The sequence below is a fragment of the Homo sapiens genome, chromosome X (genome assembly GCF_000001405.40).
Source record: "Homo sapiens chromosome X, GRCh38.p14 Primary Assembly".
Lineage (NCBI taxonomy): Eukaryota > Metazoa > Chordata > Mammalia > Primates > Hominidae > Homo > Homo sapiens.
Window position 1 is genome coordinate 8,528,009 of NC_000023.11, and position 18,287 is coordinate 8,546,295.

General features: G+C 37.8%; 1 protein-coding gene across 1 annotated transcript in view; it reads right to left on the minus strand.

Annotated features, from left to right (window-relative positions):
* The window catches only part of ANOS1 (anosmin 1), a 203,264-nt gene continuing 185,842 nt past the window's right edge, over positions 866-18,287 (minus strand). The window contains exons 10-14 of the mRNA NM_000216.4: positions 11,656-11,750; positions 8,763-8,934; positions 7,583-7,803; positions 6,311-6,452; positions 866-5,045 (exon numbers count right to left, since the gene is read on the minus strand). Coding sequence (NP_000207.2) covers positions 4,987-5,045; positions 6,311-6,452; positions 7,583-7,803; positions 8,763-8,934; positions 11,656-11,750 — 689 coding nt within the window. The 3' untranslated portion in view covers positions 866-4,986. The remainder of the gene's footprint in view (positions 5,046-6,310; positions 6,453-7,582; positions 7,804-8,762; positions 8,935-11,655; positions 11,751-18,287) is intronic.

Below are 18,287 nucleotides of genomic sequence, written 5' to 3' on the forward strand. Positions count from 1 at the left end.
ACACAAAAAGACAAATGCCACATATTCTCATTTATAATTGGGAACTAAATAATGTGTACACATGTACATAGAATGTAGAATAATTGACAATAAACACTTGGAAAGGTGGGAGGGTCAGAGGGTGGGAGAGTGGGAGTAAAGAGAAATTACTTAATGGGTACAATATATATTATTTTGGTGAATGCCCTAAAAGCCTTTATTTCTTATGCTTTTTTTTCTTAGGCATTTTTTCCAATTCATCAGCAATTATGGGTCAATTGCATGTCAAAGTGGGGATGTACAAGCCTCTCAAAACTCTACTTAGATAATGGAGATTTAAAGGCTTATAGTATAGTACGTAGTATTGAAAAACAATTGAGTAGTATTGAAATACAGGTGAATGCTTATTGGCATTGCATATATCTACAATTTTAGGAGTAAATATTGGTGGCAAAAGAAAAACAGCTTAAAATTGTATATCCTTGACTTAATATACCACTAAAACCATCAGGAGTTACAATTGTAAACATGATGATAGAAATCTGAAGTGTTGGTTGTCAAACTCCAAGATACTTTCATTAGGATGAAGTGCTGTCTTGTTAACATTTACCAGACCTCAAATTCCATTAACACTGACATGGAAAGAGACTTTTTGAATCTCCTTGGCAGCAGGAACTGTCCATTTTTCCTCTTAAATTCAATAAAGTTTCTTTTCTTTTTTTTAAGTTTGGAGACAGGGCCTTGCTATGTTGCCCAGGCTGGTCTCAAACATTCAGGACTCAAGTGATCCTTCAGATTCAGCCTCCCGAGTAGCTGAGACTACAGGTGCATGCCACTGTGCCCAGCAAAAATGTTTCTTTAAGAAATAAATGAGTCGACTCCTTGGTCTGGTTTAAGGATACTTTATTATTGAACCAGTATGTACAAACTCTAACATGAAAATAATGAGTCACAGAATATCAAGACTATTTACAATACTTTTTTGTTTTTTACAAAACATTTTTACAAGATTACTTCTCTCTAAATAATGTGACAGACATACACAAAAATCCAACTTTTTTTATTACATACATAAATAAATATTGACTTTAAATGACCACTGTAAGGGACATGAATTCTACAGACCACTTGGATGAGAAGGTAGCAGTTTTGTTATCTGCACACTACAATATAATTAAGTAAAGGGGAAAAGTAACTTTATATAGACCTCTGTTAATCACTCCGTAAATCATATAACTCACTAGAATATTCAGTAGAGGTAAGACAGTCATGAGAATCCTCTCCGTACCTGACACCGAGTCTGACCATGCAAAATCACAGGTAAGAGTCAACATCTTTATATATCTGTTTATATTTTATAATAAACTTTAAAGTACATGCAACAGATATTTAGCCATTGTGTTCTGCCTATAATATGAAAGTTTATATAATAAGTTTTAGAGTTATTTGCAACCATAGAAATGAGTAAACTTGAAAACCCACGGCATAAGAAAGGGCATTAAATAAATAAGTCAAAATCACAAATGACATTTACGGATACATAGGGCAAAATTAGTATTTGTACTTGTATGATACAGACACGAGTCAAAATTCCGTCTTTTAATCAAGTTGTTTAGTGGACATAAAAAACACAGTTTAGGCCTTTGAAGTCAACCATAATAACTTCTTAGCTGTCCCTTAGTTTTTGGGACTTGCTCTAGAAATTCACTGGGTTTCTTATAAAGGGCAAATTCAGTAAAGATCATTCTCTAGCAATGGTTCTCAACCAGAGGTACCATCCCTCAAGGGGTAGCTGGCAATATCTGGAGACATTTTTGGTTGTCTCAACTTGGGGGAGGGTGCAACTGGCATCTGGTGAGGAGAAAGTGTGGATGCTACTAAAAACCTACAGTGCACAAGACAAACCCCCACAACAGAGAACTATCCAGCCCCAAAAGTCAATAGTGTTGAGGTTGAGATGAACCTCTGTATACAGTCGGCTATGTATCTAAGGTTTTCAGGACACAGATGTATTTCTAATCTTTGAACTTCGTTTAATACACATTACAAAAAATTACCTGCCATAAACCTTATCTTCTCTACCATGTCATATTAAAACAGTGAATGACTGAAAAGAGCACATGTTGGTTTGCAAACATCATTCTATGGAGTTCCAGGTAGAAAAACAGGGTAACACAGATAAATTCATCATTAAGGAGCAAATGTTGTAAATAAAAATAATGCATGTAACTGCAATGTATGTCAGATTAACCACCTGTATTTGATGACAATATTTTTGATGAGCTCAATTTTTTAAACAGTCAATACTATTACTGGATATATTTTTCTCACATTAGAGAAATGAATCTAATTTCAATAAAACATATTACAGAATTAGGCACCAAAACTATGTTTGTTAAAAAGCATAGATTTTATTCTTTATTAGAGCAATCACATTTTTAAAATTCAAAAAATTATAACTATATTTTTGATCATTTGAATAATACTGGAGCTTATTAAAATCCATAAGAGAAACACATGTTTTTTATTAGCCCATTAATAGCATTTTTCTTCCAATAACACCAATAAAATTTAAATTATTTATTTATATTAAAATTAGAAGCCCATAAGAGCTGCTTTAGATTTTTTTAAGGGAGATGTAAGCTTCAGAATCACCATCTGAACTAAAAATATCTGTCCAATGTCTATTACCCAGACAAAAGAAGCATGATTAAATTTTATAAAATTAAATTTATGTAATAATTTAATAATATTTTGTATCTATGCAGAGACTCCCAGCATTTTTAACTATGCAACAGTACAAAAATTTGCTGGCATAAACATTTGAATTTGTTCATGACAAGTTCATGTAAAAGATAAATGGATAGCTAATAATGAAAAATTTTAATTTTTGAAATTTTAAGAACTTGAAATTCAGATGCTGGTAATGACACCAGAATAAAAAAGAGAAGCTATCTATGGTATCCATTTATTCAAGCTTAGGGATGTTTTCAAATGAAGATTGTTTTCTATTTTTGCCACTCAAAAATTCTTAGAACCAGGTAATTTCATAACTCAATGTGATAAATCCATCCCAGCTTGTGACAGGAGCTGCAGTGAACCATTCAGAACCAACATGAACTTTCATTCTGAGGTGTCCAATTTATGTTACTTGTACAAAGCTGCAAAACATTCCTGGAATATCCACTTTTTAAATATTTTAACACACAGGAAATGGGTTTCAATATCTATTATCAGGTATCCATGTTTATAAATGTGTTTCCCAAAGACATGCATCAACATCAGAAAAGTTATTTTCCCTGCATTTTAATTTGCATCTACCTTTAGACACTGCAGTGAGGCTCTGTGGAGTACAGTGACTTCTGAGTTATCCACTCTTCCCAGGAATGGCCAGGCATCTGCATGAATTCAGGAAACAATAAAACAACAAGAAGCAAGTACCATTGTCAAAACCTAAGGATAATGTTACTGATTTTCTTCCTGTTTTACTTAGGTAGGTAAAGACATATGGACACCTTTCTTTTACAGTGTTTAATTTTGATAAATTGCTCTTTTCTCAGAATCAGCATTGATGGGGAAAATATATTATCCTTATGACCTTTAAAAGAGCTGTATCTTTACTCACCATTGGTGAGCTACGAAAACGATTTCTCCAGGGATTCATGCTCAAGGTATATTCATGTATATGCATGTGTCTGTGTGTATATACATGTATATGTACATATATTTGCATATATATACACATGCATTTATAATTATATAGACATGCATATCTATGCACATTTCAAACCATGTATGTGAGTATTCCTTCAAGAAAAAAAACAGTATTAAATTAAACTTCTCTGCGTTTTAGGTTGTTACAATATACACTGCAACACTCTATATTGATAACACGTTTTGACTTAAGTTCATGCTACAAGGCACTAATTTGTAGCATAAAACATTTCCAAAAAGTAAGATATACTAGATTTGAAAGCATATGGGTGAATTAAATGCAAATAACTGTCCTTCTCTATCAATCAAAGGAATTTTTAAAACATTACCAATAATATTCTAGCACACAAAGACCTTTCTTTGATTAAGAAAAGGCAAATCTCTGCAAAGATTTAAACATGCTCAATAGTTGGGATTTTTTCATTTGAAGCAAGAAGTTTTGTGAATTTTCAGATGGTGAAACAAAAGTGCACCAAAAGCTATTATCTGCATTGAGGAAAATAAGGGAAAATATAAATAAGATAACATATCAGGAAAATCTCTCACATAATAGGATCAAATATTAAAAGGCATCCCCAAGAAATAATTTTCATTTCTCCAAGGTAAAATCTGATTAGCAGCTTATTTCATTGAGTTCCTCTGGCTTGGGTGTCTTTTGTAAATCATAATTTATAGAGGGAACTTTGATTTACCTTTGCATAAAGAGCAGCACAAGGTACTTAAAGTAGGAGCATTTTTAGATTTAAATTCGCTGGTATATTTTAGATTACACATTTTCATTTAAAAATCACCTAGGATAAAAATGATCTTAGGAAAGATTCAAAAAAACAAAGCTGTGTAATCTTAGTTGATTTTTCATATCGAATCAATAATTTAGTCAAAAATATATTTTATTGATTAGATTTACGCTTAGTGTTATGTGTGAATTGTGTATTTGTTACTCTCCTTTTTGGGGCGGAGTTTGGTGCTCCAAATTCAGGGAAAACTGAGTTCTGTTGTAATTCAATAGAAATGAGCGACACCATACATGAAAACAAAATTTAGCATTAAACAGGCCTATTCTTCATTTTCTCCATGCTTGTAGGGAACTGGTGTCTGTCTTCACCAATCTACTGTTTCTCACTTGTCTCCAGATGCGTCCATGATTGACAGAAGTTCTTCCTGCACTAAAGTCACATAGGAGAGTCCGGGCCTCTGAGCAGTTCCCACTGCCTCTGGAAGTGTGCATGTCTCGTGGCCGAAGTTCAACAAGCTTACACATCTGTGCAATTTCACAAAATCTTTTTGAACAGTTTAGTATCTTTCTGGAGAAGGCTTGTAATGATGTGGATGACGATGCTTAAGATGAGATCCTAAAAAGTGACAAAATATGTCAGTCACATCCATTTGTATGTATCAAATAAATGATAGAATTACCTTTATTTGTAGAAAAAGCACGAGACCCTGGCAAATGTTCCTTCCTATGACCATGTCTTTCCTATTCTGAATCTGAATGTACAACCACACTCTTTCTCTCCTTTTCCTGTTTTTCTCTTCCTCTTTGATGTCTTCCCAAACTATAAAATAACAAGAAAAAGAAGACAAGCTCCTTTCCTTAAGCTCACACTTATCCAATCAAACCATAATCCTTTTTTATTTGCTCAAAGAAGTTTAAAAATTATCAAATACTTCTGTTAAAAGGAATTTCTATGAAGGAATATCAGAAAAGCATTTATCTGACAAAAATTTTAGAGGCTATCAAGCTCTCCCATTGTGATAGTTTTTGTTTTTCTTCAAATTATAAGCATACCAAGTTATCAATTATAAGCATACCAATCTATCATTTAAAAAAATCAGAGTTAAAACTATGACTAATTCTCAATGTTTTGTCCACACACTAGTCATCAGACACTTTTTTAAAAAATTTAAGCTAGAAAATAAAGTAAACGAAGTACATAATTTAAAAATCAGCAAGAGGCTGTTTTGAAAATCTAGGTGACAATTTTCTTTTTAAATTTTACTTGATTTAGCAATAAATGAAGTAGGTGGACTTGGGTCATATCATGAAGAAAATTCATAATATTTATTACAGTAATATCTATGTAACAAGAACATAAGTTCCTTAGCAAAATATTATTTCCTATATTGTGATATATGAAAATCTTGATTTAAAAATATTTCAGATATGAGACTACAGATTTTTTTCCCATATGTATTTATGGTTTAAAAGACAAGGAAAAAAGCATGCATTACATAGGGGAAAATGCAAGGAAGGAAAAAAAAAACAAAGGAAGGATAGAGGAAAGGAGAAAAGAAGAGAGGGAAGAATGAAGGAGGGAGGGAGAGAGGATGGAGAAAGGAAACAAGGAAGGAGCAAAGAAAGGGAGAAAAGCGGGGAAGAGGGAGGGAGGGAGAAAAAGAACAATTAAGCATCAACTATGCAATGTATACTACAGGTGCCTGGAATAGAATCTAGTAAGTCGGTACAAACAGGGAGAAAGAATTTCAGATGATGACAATTTCCCTATCTCATAGAAACCTGTACTAGTGTATTTATTTGTTTTCATTTTCCAGCAAGATTTTTCTCTATGTCCACAAGACCTGACAGGATGGCTTAATGCCCTGGCACCCCACTCACTGTGTGCTGAAGAGGGTGGGAGCTCCGGCGTCCGGAACGTCTTGATGGTGGCCGGCCCCTCCCCTCCTGGGGTCAGCACTTGCACTTCCAGTCGGTAAAGAGTAGATGGTCTCAGATTGGGCACTGTTAGGACATAATGATCCTAAGGGGACAACATAAAAGAGCATGCTCACCGACAACCTTTCAGAGACAACATGCAATGCACAGAGAGCCTAGAACAGTTTTTCCCCCACTGGAGAATATCATACACAGGCAAGTTTGGTTGCTTTGTAAAGGCATAGTTTAATTTATAGACTATTTCTCATTTGTGGGGGTTCTCTGCCATATGGTTTCTTAGCACCTCACTCAATTCTTGGCAGCCTAAGACACTTGGCAGAGTTAAAATATGCTGAGGTGCCAGTTCTCAGGGCTCACTCCTGGGATTTTATTTATTTTTTTAATTCCTTAACGTAAAACTTTCCCATGGTTTAAAGTCTTCAGCTGCACATCTTGTGATGTGAACTCTTGATAGTCCAAATTTCAGTGAATGAGCCAACTGTTTTTCTTAAAACACAGTATCTGTCAATGCCCATAACTGAAAATGTTTATTTTTATGCCAACATATTCTTCTCAAAACTCAATAAAACCTAGTACATTTATAGAATAACTACTCTCTAATTCCATGGAATTTTTCCTTCTGAGATTTAAGTTGTGTTTCTTTCCCTCTCTGCCCCTCTTTTTGGATTTTGTAACGGTAGTTGGCTATTCTAAGGGCATTTTCAGAGAGGGTAAAATCCCACACATGATTTTTTTTTTTTTTTTTTGAAGCCAAGGAATTAAGTGGCCTGGAAGACAGGCCAACTCATTACAGCCTCGAGCCAAATTTGAAGTTGCGGGGAAGACGGACAAACAACAAGCTTCTTTTAGCTATTCCTGCCCTCCCCAATTCAACACTTCAAACAGGGCATGTTCACTTGGACCAGAGAGACATGAGGTTAACAAAGATAGAAGAAAATGGCTCAATCACTTATATACAAGATAGGGTAAGGTCTTTTCATGAGTTGGCTCTAGCCATCAAACTTTATCTAGATGGCAGCTTATGCTACTTCTTAGCTATGCAGTCACATTTGTGATGTGTTAATGCTTGCAAAAGATACACTCAGAAGAAGAAAATGCAAAAATAAGACTCAATAGTGCAGCACACAGAATGACAGAGGTAGCCACCTCTGAAGGTCAGTAAAAAGGAGCAGTAGATACCAATGACACAGACATAGTACAAGAGGTGGGACCTACGGAAGGCAGGATCTGGGACTGTGAAATAATGCTGTTGGGTAGGCTGTTCTGTCTGCTTTCCGTAGTGACCTCAGCCCAAGTCACTTGAAACCCAGTCATGGGCTGATAGAGATTGGCCTTGGCCATCTTCCAAGAAAAGTGACCGGTGATGTTCACATCCTGGACGATGAATGAAGCAGAAAGGTTCTCAGGCTTAGCTAGCACCTTAGAAAGAACATGACCTGCAGCAATGCAAGAAGGAAAACCAGGATTAGGCGACTGGAGAAGGTGTGCCCAAGGGATCCATTGTAGGAATTTTCAGCGGCCAGTCTATGGGATGATATTAATAGAAGCAATGTGACCTTGTTCTTTAAACATGGGTTCAGACAATCACCCCTTTGACATATGGGGATAGGTTGAGTAGGAATCTCCTCACTCCAACTTTGTACTAAATGCTTCTTCCAGTCTTTTGGGGATCATTTTTAGAATGCTCTTTTGAAGATGGAGGCAGGAGAGCAGTTTAGACCCTGGCAAGACTTAACTATTTCTTAAAGAATAGCATTGACTGCAGTGAGAAGGTAAATATTAAAGCTGTTAGAAGAGTTATTAAATCCGAAGCTTTTTTTTTTTTTTTTTTTTTTTTTTTTAAAAGGTGAGATCTTGCTATGTTGCCCATGTTGGTCTGGAACTCCAGGGCTCAAGTGATTCTCTCATCTCAGCCTCTCAAAGTACTGGGATTTCAGGCATGAGCCGCCATGCCTGGCCAAATCCAGGGCATTTAAAAGACTTTTTCCCACTGCAAGACAGGGACATTGGCAAGGAGATGGGATGGAAGGTACAGATGTGAGGTTTGCCAGGTTGGCATGGAAAGTGTGTGAGTATAACCCACGCAGCAAAGGGGTGGGAAAATAATGAAATAATTATATCAAACTTTCCCAAAACACAAGCGGTATCTAAATGTTTGCCTTCATTTCCAAAGGGATAACATTACTATCAAAGGACATCTTTCCAAGCCTGTTAGGCTTTAAAATAACACATTCATTCCTACATCTCTTCCCTCCACATTGGGCCATCATAACACAACTTAGAAAGAGAGGCACTTTTGGTTTTCACGGTCTTGTGAAACGCAGTTTGACAAGGTTTGCAAAGCGCTGCTGACACCGTAGACCTAGATGTAGAAGTCCTTCAGGTGAAAACGTACCTGCTTCGCCCAGGCAGCCAACAGGCTTGTGGCTCTTCCCCTTAAGAGCAGAGCATGGTGGAGTAGTGAAGAAAACAGCTTCTGCCTTGGAGTGACTTTTTGGCCGTATTGGTTGGACAGTCACCTTATACTTGCAGGAAAATGACAGATCTTGAAGAATTATGTAATTTTCCTAGAGCAAGAGAAAGAGAATTATGCTAGCAATAAATCTCATTAGGGATTAAAAAACACTGGCAAGAATTGAAATCATATTCCATCCAACAAGGATGTTTTCCTATATAGTGTGTGCAATATGGCTTTTATAAAAAGTACAAAGCACATACTGTCCACATTTTGATTAATGACAATTGTGAAACACTCCCATGGCTGCGGGATATGCCTTCTAGAATTAAACAGTATCATAATAATTCCTCATCAAAGCAGGCTACTTCTAAGGTCGCAATCAGCATTTTTGAGTTGGTAGCAGTGCAGGTAGTGGTGTAAAGCTGTAAATACAAATCTAACTTTTTTCAGTTAAAAAAAACTAACGCAGGCTTCTCTGAGACATAGAATTAGTTTATATGTAAGTTTTTCTGTTAAAAAATGATGATATTCTTTAGCAATATAATTTTTCCCTTTTTTGGAGTGCTGTTACTGTTTTCTGCCATAATGTTGTGATTAAATATAAATAAAAGAAAGAGGCTAAATGGTAAGGAGTCACGGGCTAAGAATATAACTTTATGATAATGTCAAAAGATGACATTTCCTGTGATAACAGGTGTGTATCTCTGTTTCTTTCATATTTGGCTAAATGGCACTTATCCATTCTGTTTTGTATTTACCAATTCTTAATGTATATGTATAAAAGTGCAGATGGATAGCTGGGCATGGTGACTCGTGTCATAGTCCTAGCTACTCGAGAGGCTGAGGTGGGAGGATCGCTTGAACTCAGGAGTTTGTGACCAGCTTGGTCAACATAGTGAGACTCCATGGTTTTTACGTGTGTGTGTGTGTGTGTGTGTGTGTGTGTGTGTGTTTAATTATTTTTTAAGAGAGGAAAAAAAGTACAGATGGAATATCTCTGGCACTCATTGGATGATGGGTAGGGGATCTTGCTAGAAAGCAGCAGCGTTGACGGGAAAAACATGAGACAAGAATTAAAATCAAAACTGAGGCTTGAGTGATTTACTTAAGTGAGGAGTGGAAGTGGCTGCAGGTGACAGAGCACTGAATGTTCAAAAGAGACCGGGAGTGACCTCCAGGTGTGCTGGCCCTTCATCCAGATGGTGACAGGAGATGGGGTGCACCCAACTCTGCAGCCAGTTAGCACAAACAGTGAATAGGAAACAAATCAATCTGGACAACGCAAGACCAACCCAAGCCCAACCCAAGCCCAAGCCAAGGCCACCATGTTTCTTTGGGAGTCTGAATTGCTTTTCTTTGGAAATAAATCTGCTCTTTACATGGGACTATACTGGAATCCAAGGTTAGCTATTAAGGATCCTGTTTCACAGATATTTCAAGATTGTTTTCATATTGCATAGGAGACAGACATCTGCAGCAGTAAGTGAATTAGTGGATGCTCCATTGTAGCATAAAAACAAATTATAATAATTGGATCTAAAGGTTTAAAACTAAATACAGATAAGTTCTAAACCCCTAGAAGGATAATTTTTCAGGAGTTTGATTTTTATTTCTACCAGATACATTACATCTGCTCAGCAAATAGTTGTTACCACTTTCAGAGTTCCTAAAGATGATAAGCCTAGGATTGGGGAATTGCATTGACATAAGCCCAGTTCTGTAAGGTTCTGAGGCACACACATATAAGTAAAACAAAAACCTCACCCCTCTGCCCACAAAAATATTAATAATTCCAGCTTCTGTTTATTGCTTTCTCTGCTTTTCAAATCGACTTCCTTATTTAGAATGTCTGTTTAATTATTTTACTGAAGGTCACAAACATTGGAGCTAATTTAAGGATAAATACAAGGAGAAACATTGCTGAACATGAGACAAATTAAGTCCAGTAAAAAAGAAAAAGAATCTGTGTATTTCTGAAAATCCAGTGACTTGTTTTATCTCACTCTCTTAAAATTATGCCAGCAGGTATGGTTCTTAAAATATCGTGCTTGCTTTAGAAAATGTTCAAAACAAAAATATTCTAGTTACATATCACAAACCAAAACATTCTATGTTTGGGGCCATGTTTTTGGATTTTTTAAACTGTCCTGAGGTATCACATATAAACTGCCATCAAAGTGTATTATACACTGTATAATAAAATGACCTCTTAAATATTTTGTGTTAGTTTGTTGATTCTAATCTATAATTCATGAATGAACCCCAAAATATTTGGAATAACATTTTGGGCAATATTGACAGAGTTGCTATCCTCAGAGAGTTTAATGTTCTCTTAAAGTTGAAAGTCAAAATATTGGTGCATGCTATACAGGACAGGGAGATTATTTCACTAACTGAGCTGATGGCAGTTAGGGACATGGTGCTCAATGATAGAGTCACATAGAAATCCACTTGTACCATTACACCTTTAGATCACGGTGACATGTCAAAATTCAGAAAATAATTCAAAGCTTTTGTCCAGTTAAGATGAAGCACACACATACTCAGACATATTTCCCCCTGAAATATGGGAGTTCTTTAAGAACTGTGTCTTTAGTCTCTGCACTTTAGGTTTTGCTCCATGTGGATAACAGAGTAAGCTCCCAGTGCAATGGTGTGAATGGATAAAAGAATGAGTGAATATAATGACCATTCTGCTTTCCACTTCCATCAAGTCATTACTCCATAGCTGATTTGTGGGAATGAGTTATCTGTTTGACCTGTCTAGTTTGTACATCCTCCTGTCTAATTATGTTCACAGATCAAGTTGGCCTAGAGATCATGTCCTTACGTGGGTCATGCCAGATGATGCCTCTGATCCGGTTGTTCTGTTGTGGGCACACGCTTCAGGAAACCACCGCACATGATATCGGTTGACAGTGGGATCTATAATGCCAAAACACGCAAACAAAAATAATAGGCTGGATGTTACATTCCAGGTAGCCTGGGGTTCTTGAACTTGAGAGGAGAAAAGGAGAGGAAATGAAACTCTACAGGTGACCAATAAATGCACAGTGAGCCAAAGGAGGTGAGATTCTGATTACTTAATAATTATAATAATTAGTAATTCTGAATACTTAATCATTAAGAACAAAGTAAGGGAAAAAAGTAATATACTGCCAAGGGAAAACCTGTGTTGAAGTGCAAGCACTAAGTAGAAAAAAAAATTAGTAAATTCATAGCAAAATGATTCCAAAGATGTCTTGAGAATAACCTAGCCATGGTTTTTACAGTAAGCAAAGCCCTACAATGAAAGGCAACACCTAGCAACAGCTCTCGTAATTCCTGTTGCAAAAGAGAATCATCAGAAGTTTCTCAATCCTACCTTTTTTTTTGATAAAGATGAGATACTATTGAATCCACACAAGAACAAAAACATTCCCTTCACACTTGCAGAATTGGCTATCCACGTTTATTTCCTGTTATGTATTGCCATAAAGAAGTTCTTTTGTCCAAAGGATAGGGACGTATGCTTCCCACTCTCCCTTAACCAAGCGCATCGTGGCATTTCTGTATGGCTGATCCCTACTGAAATATGACTTGGTGTTCTCAAACACAGGCCAGAAGACTGACCCTTTGAACACGTTTATTCCCAGGGCAAGAGGAATATTTTCTGTACATTTCTTTACTTTGGACAATAAAGTGGGGGGAAAAAAGATAAAATAGCGGCAAGCAACTCAATGAGTGTGGGAAAGCAGACCTTGACAGTCTCGGGTTTATTAATCACCCCAGTGTGTCCGAGGAGTGTGAAATGGCACCAAATGGCACCATTTTGCAGGTGATTTAACATCTTGTCCCCCAACATCATGCCAAGTGTTTGATGGGAGTTTTCAGAGGAGAAAACTCTTTGATGAAATTGGGTTGATCTAGTGGGAACTTCGCTTTGAGCACTTTGGAACCAGAAAAGAAGAACTTTAAATCCGAGAAAGCAAACAGATATAAAAGTGGGCACTCCGGGCATTTAGCTAAAAGAGAAATCATGTACTAGAGGTTTTAATTTTTACATAGCAGACATCAAGAGTTTATTTTTTAAAAAAAGAATTATAGGCTATGCACAACGCTGAAGTCAATCACTGAGTGTGTTCATGTTCTTCCATTCAACAGCAATGAAATAATCACACAGGAGTGGCTGCTGCCCTCCTGAATTTTACATAGTAATGGGGCCAATAATAACAGAGAATAAATACAATACATAGATAAGATAGATATTATGTTAGAACGTAGTAAGTCCACATATAAATACAGAAGGTGGCTGGGCACGGTGGTTCACGCCTGTAATCCCAGCACTTTGGGAGGCCGAGGCAGGCAGATCACTAGGTCAGGAGTTTGAGACCAGCCTGGCCAACATGGTGAAACCCCCTCTCTACTAACAATACAAAAATTAGCCAGGCGTGGTGGCAGGCGCCTGTAATCCCAGCTACTCGGGAGGCTGAGGCCAGAGAATCTCTTGAAACCGGAAGGCGGATGTTTCAGTGAGCCGAGATCACGCCACTGCACTCCAGCCTGGGCAACAAGAGCAAAACTCCGTCTCCCACCACCCCCCCCCCAAAAACAAAAAAACAAAAAAATAAAACAAAAAAAAAACCAGAAGGTAAGGGCAGTAGGGTGGATTGACAAAAAGTGCTGATTTTATATAAGGCGGCTGGCGTGTGTTCAATTCTGAGTCAGGACTTGAAGAAGGTGTAGCAGTGGGTAGTGGCACTGCAGAGACCTGTGGGAGGGTGTTCTCAGCCAGTCCTGTCCAACAGAACTGGCGGGTGTGATGGAAATGTTCTGTCTGTGGTAAACACTAGTCACCTGTGCCTATAAAGCATTTCACATGTCCTCTGTTTAACAGAGGAATTTAATTCTTTATTCTGTTTCATTTTAATTAATTTAAATTTAAACAGCTGAAGATGGCCATGGTTACAATATTGGGCAGCTTAAATGCTCTACCAGCAGGGAATACACAGCACGTGCCAAAGTGCTGACATGAGAACGGAGCATGACGGATGACTGAAGGTCTTTGGTGAAGAGCAGTCAGGGGACTTGGGGTGGCTACATTACAGCAATACAAGGAGGCTTGGCTGCCCTGGGGATCCTCCATATCCTAAAAATCCTTTACATATTTTACAATGCAATTATATTTTCATAGGAGGCAGCATCAAGAGTGACACATGGGGCACTCCTTTTGGGTTCCCTCCCTTTTGTTAGCCCTAAATCTCGCCATGTCTGAGTTCACTGCACTTTCATCTTCTCTCTGTGTCACCTCCATGAATCACTTCATTGATTCCCATGGTTTGAAAAATTTTTCTGCTGACAGCTCCCAAATGTCTACTTTCACCTGAGCTAGTCCCTTGAAGAGCTGATGCTCCCTCCTTCCTCTCCCATGTGGAGGCTTTCCAAACTCAACTTTGCTGTAGCTACCATGTTGATTTCTGCACCTCAACTGCTCCTTGCATTCACACTTTTCTTTCTGGCTGTAGGATGCAGAATTTTGACCCCACACATAACCTTCGAGGAAGGTGGGCTTCAGCAAGCAACTCCAACAGCCTCAGTGAGCCTCATTCCCTGTATCTGAGAATAAGGATACTAATTCAGCCAATGCAATAGGTTTGGTGTGTTTTAAATCAGTTCATGTACTGGTTTTCTACAGCTGCTGTGACAAATTACCTTGAGTGTAGATGCTTAAAACAATATAAATGTCTTCTCTTCTGGAGGTCTGAAATGGGTGTCACTGGTCTAAAATCAAGGCAGGCCTGTACTCCTTTCTGGAGGCTCCAGGGAAGAATGTATTTTCATGACTTTTCAGGTTTCTAGAGGCTTCTGGAATTCTTTGGCTGGTGGTGCCCTTCCACCAGCTTCAAAGTCAACAACACTGGGCTGAGTCCTTCGCACCATGCCATCTCTCTGATTCTTGCACTCTGCTTCCCTATTCTACTTTTAAGGACTTTTGTGATTGTATTCGTTTCCACCCAAATAATTAAGGGTAATATCCCCATCTCAAGGTTGGCTTTGAGTCATTGAATGGCTTTTCTCTGCCCTCTGAATAAAGACACTAATACTCAGCCTGGCTTCCAGGTCTCCACTGCCTCTACATATTCATCTCATGCAGACACTCCTCTCGTTCCCAATGTTTTGTTTGATTCTGTGGTTACTTCATGAATCCCTGTCAACCCCATTTGGTTAGAGCTCCATAACTATAAAGATAATGCCTATTTGCTGTCACTGTTGCATAAACAAAGATGAGCATGGTGCCTGGCAGGTGATAAACAGACAGTAAACATTTAATGAATAAATAAGTGAACAAAGGTATACCAGTTCAAATTCACTTTTATTTCTCTACTCATTCTGGCAACAGTGAAAATAATTCCTTATAATCTAAGACACGGAAGAAAGTGTGAAAAGACATGATATTACATAAGGTAATTAAAAGCAATCTGAGAAAGTAAAATATAAATTAAACTTAGATTAAAAATGCCCTGAAAGTATTGTAAATGGCACCCCCAAATGACCAGTATGGGGACTAACAATGCCCACACTCATTTATGTGAGTTGAGCTCAATTTTAACAGATCAATTCATAGATATTTGCTTTGATGGAAGTCATTTATACAAACATCATGTCCTTAGCTTTATCTTGCTAATTACTAAAATCCTAAGAGCTTGTATTTTAGGTTATGACTGCAGGTCTCAATCTGTAACTAGAATATTAAAAATAGCATAGTTCAGGCCGGGCGTGGTGGCTCATGCCTGTAATCCCAGCACTTTGGGAGGCTGAGGTGGGTGGATTGTCTGAGGTCAGGAGCTCAAGAGCAGCCTGGCCAGCATGGTGAAACCCTGTCTCTACTAAAAATACAAAAATTAGCCAGGTATGGTGGCACATGCTTGTAATCCCAGCTACTCGGGAGGCTGAGGCAGGAGAATCGCTTGAACCCGGGAAGTGGATGTTGCGGTGAGCTGAGATCATGCCATTGCACTCCAGCCTGGGCAACAACAGTAAAACTCTGTCTTAAAAAAATAATAATAAAATAAAATAAATAGCCAAACACTTCCTGAAAGGCTGTATCTGAAAATTCTGTGCTAAATACCCAGTTGATCTGGTTCCTTAGCTTAATTCCTTCCACAAATAAATGACATTACAAAGAAAGTACCTGAAAAGTATTTTTAAGTGATAAAAAATTTACCTGTAATATGCTTCAACTATGGTTCAAAAATTAGATGGGTCTAATTTTCTTTTCAAATAGATGTAACTCACAGTGTCTGGCATAAACAAAGGGCTCTAAAATTTTTCATTAAATGTGAATTCCTCAGTTCGCAAAAGTCTAATGACAAAGAATGATAGGGTTATTGACATTAGAGCTCTGAGAAAGAGGCAATCCTTGGGTTCTCCAGAATAATAATTGCTTTAAAAAGAATTGTAAGTCACAGCACTAGGGAAGGGGGCACACACTTAGAGAGGTGTCACAGAATGCCAATTCCATCAGGGTAGGGATTTCTGTCTGCCTCTTTGCAGTGTTTTAGCATCGGAAATGGTGCATTGCATACAGTAGGTGCTCAGTAAAGGTTAGTTGAATGAAGTCCTCTCATGGATCAATGCCTCATACTCTATCTGTAAACATGATCTGGTGAAACAGAACTTTCTGATGTACAACTAAAATAAGAATTTTTGAGTATCACATAGGCATTTCTACTTAAAATAGAAGCATGAATGTTTCCTCTATGTCTGAGCTAACTTTTCACATTTACGTTGTAGAGACACAAAGTCTAGAGCCAGAAAACCATCAAGATGCAGTGGCTCATGCCTTCAACCCCAGCGTTTTGGGAGTCTGAGGCTGAAGGATCACCTGAGGCCAGGAGTTTGAGACCATCCTGGGCAACATAGCAAGACCGCATCTCTACAAAAAATATATTTTTTAAAAAATTAGCTGGGCGGCCAGGCACTGTGGGTCACGCCTGTAATCCCAGCACTTTGGGAGGCTGAGGTGGGTGGATCTCCTGAGGTTGGGAGTTCGAGACCGGCCTGACCAACATGGAGAAACCCCGTCTCTACTAAAAATACAAAATTAGCCAAGCGTGGTGGTGCCTGCCTGTAATCCCAGCTACCTGGGAGGCTGAGACAGGAGAATCACTCAAACCCGGAAGGCAGAGGTTGTGGTGAGCCGAGATTGCGACATTGCACTCCAGCCTGGGCAACAAGAGAGAAACTCCAAAAAAAAAAAAAAAAAAAAAAGAAAAGAAGAGAAAAGAAAATTAGCTGGGCATGGTGGTGCATGTCTGTAGTTCCAGCTTCTTGTGAGGCTGAGGCAGGAGGATTGCTTGAGGCCAGGAGTTTGAAGTTGCAGTGAGCCATGATCATGCCACTGCACTCCAGCCTGGGTGACAGAGCAAGACCCTGTCTCTATGACAAAAAAAAAAAAAGAAAGAAAGAAAGAGAGAGAGAGAAAGGAAAGGAAAGGAAGGGAAAGGAAAGGAAAAGAGGAGAGGAGAAGAAAGAGAGAGGGAGGGAGGGAGGAAGAAAGGAAAGGAAAGGGAAGGAAGGAAGGAAGGAAGGAAGGAAGGCAGGCAGGCAGGCAGGCAGGCCAGAAAGCTTAAAACAATTGTTTATTCTATTATTACACAGTAAAAATGAACTAATATCAATGGAGTAATAAAATTACTAACAAAATTAGCTAAGTGGAATTGTTTTAAAATAATGTTTGTTCTACAAATGCAATGTTGAAAATATTTATTTTCTCCCAGAGCATTCACTATTATAACCCAACTACTATGTGTATTAAGTAAAGAAAGCTAATATTTGACGTTTAATTCATTTATCTATGAAACTACATGCTACATCCTAATAACTGAAACTGTCTCTGAAAAATTTTGAGTGAAATGAATAGATTTGGGCTTTTAGGTCCCTAACTCCAAGTCCAAAAGCAATATTTTGCCCACCATCACTTTTAGGAAATGTGACATAAGAACCCATTTCTGTTTATGATTGAGTTTTGATTAATGAGCAAGATTCTTTTCTTCCCTTATTTGCCAAAAGCATTAAGTCTTTTTAGGTTTTCAACTCAGTGTGTCCACAATTGGAAATAAATTATCATTCAAAAATATTCAGCTACTTGTCAAGGAGTTTGAAACCACTTTAGATGGGTCTATTGAGTTTCATACAGAGGAGATAATTTCTCATTTTACAAAGTCAAAAAAATCCAGAAAATCCAGCCAAAGTGTCCTTTCCCATGACAGAAACTGTGCTGATATTCACATTCCGTACAGTGCTCCTATGCTAGTAATACTGAGTCCATTTCAAAGGTCTCCTTTCCTACATGTGTGATAATTATGAATAAGAGCATGTTTTATGAATGTCTGGGGAAACTTTGGTTTGGGATTCTGTAGATCATGTGGTGAGTACATAAAAGGTTTCTGTAAGGAGGAAAAATGTGGAATAAGTTTGAAA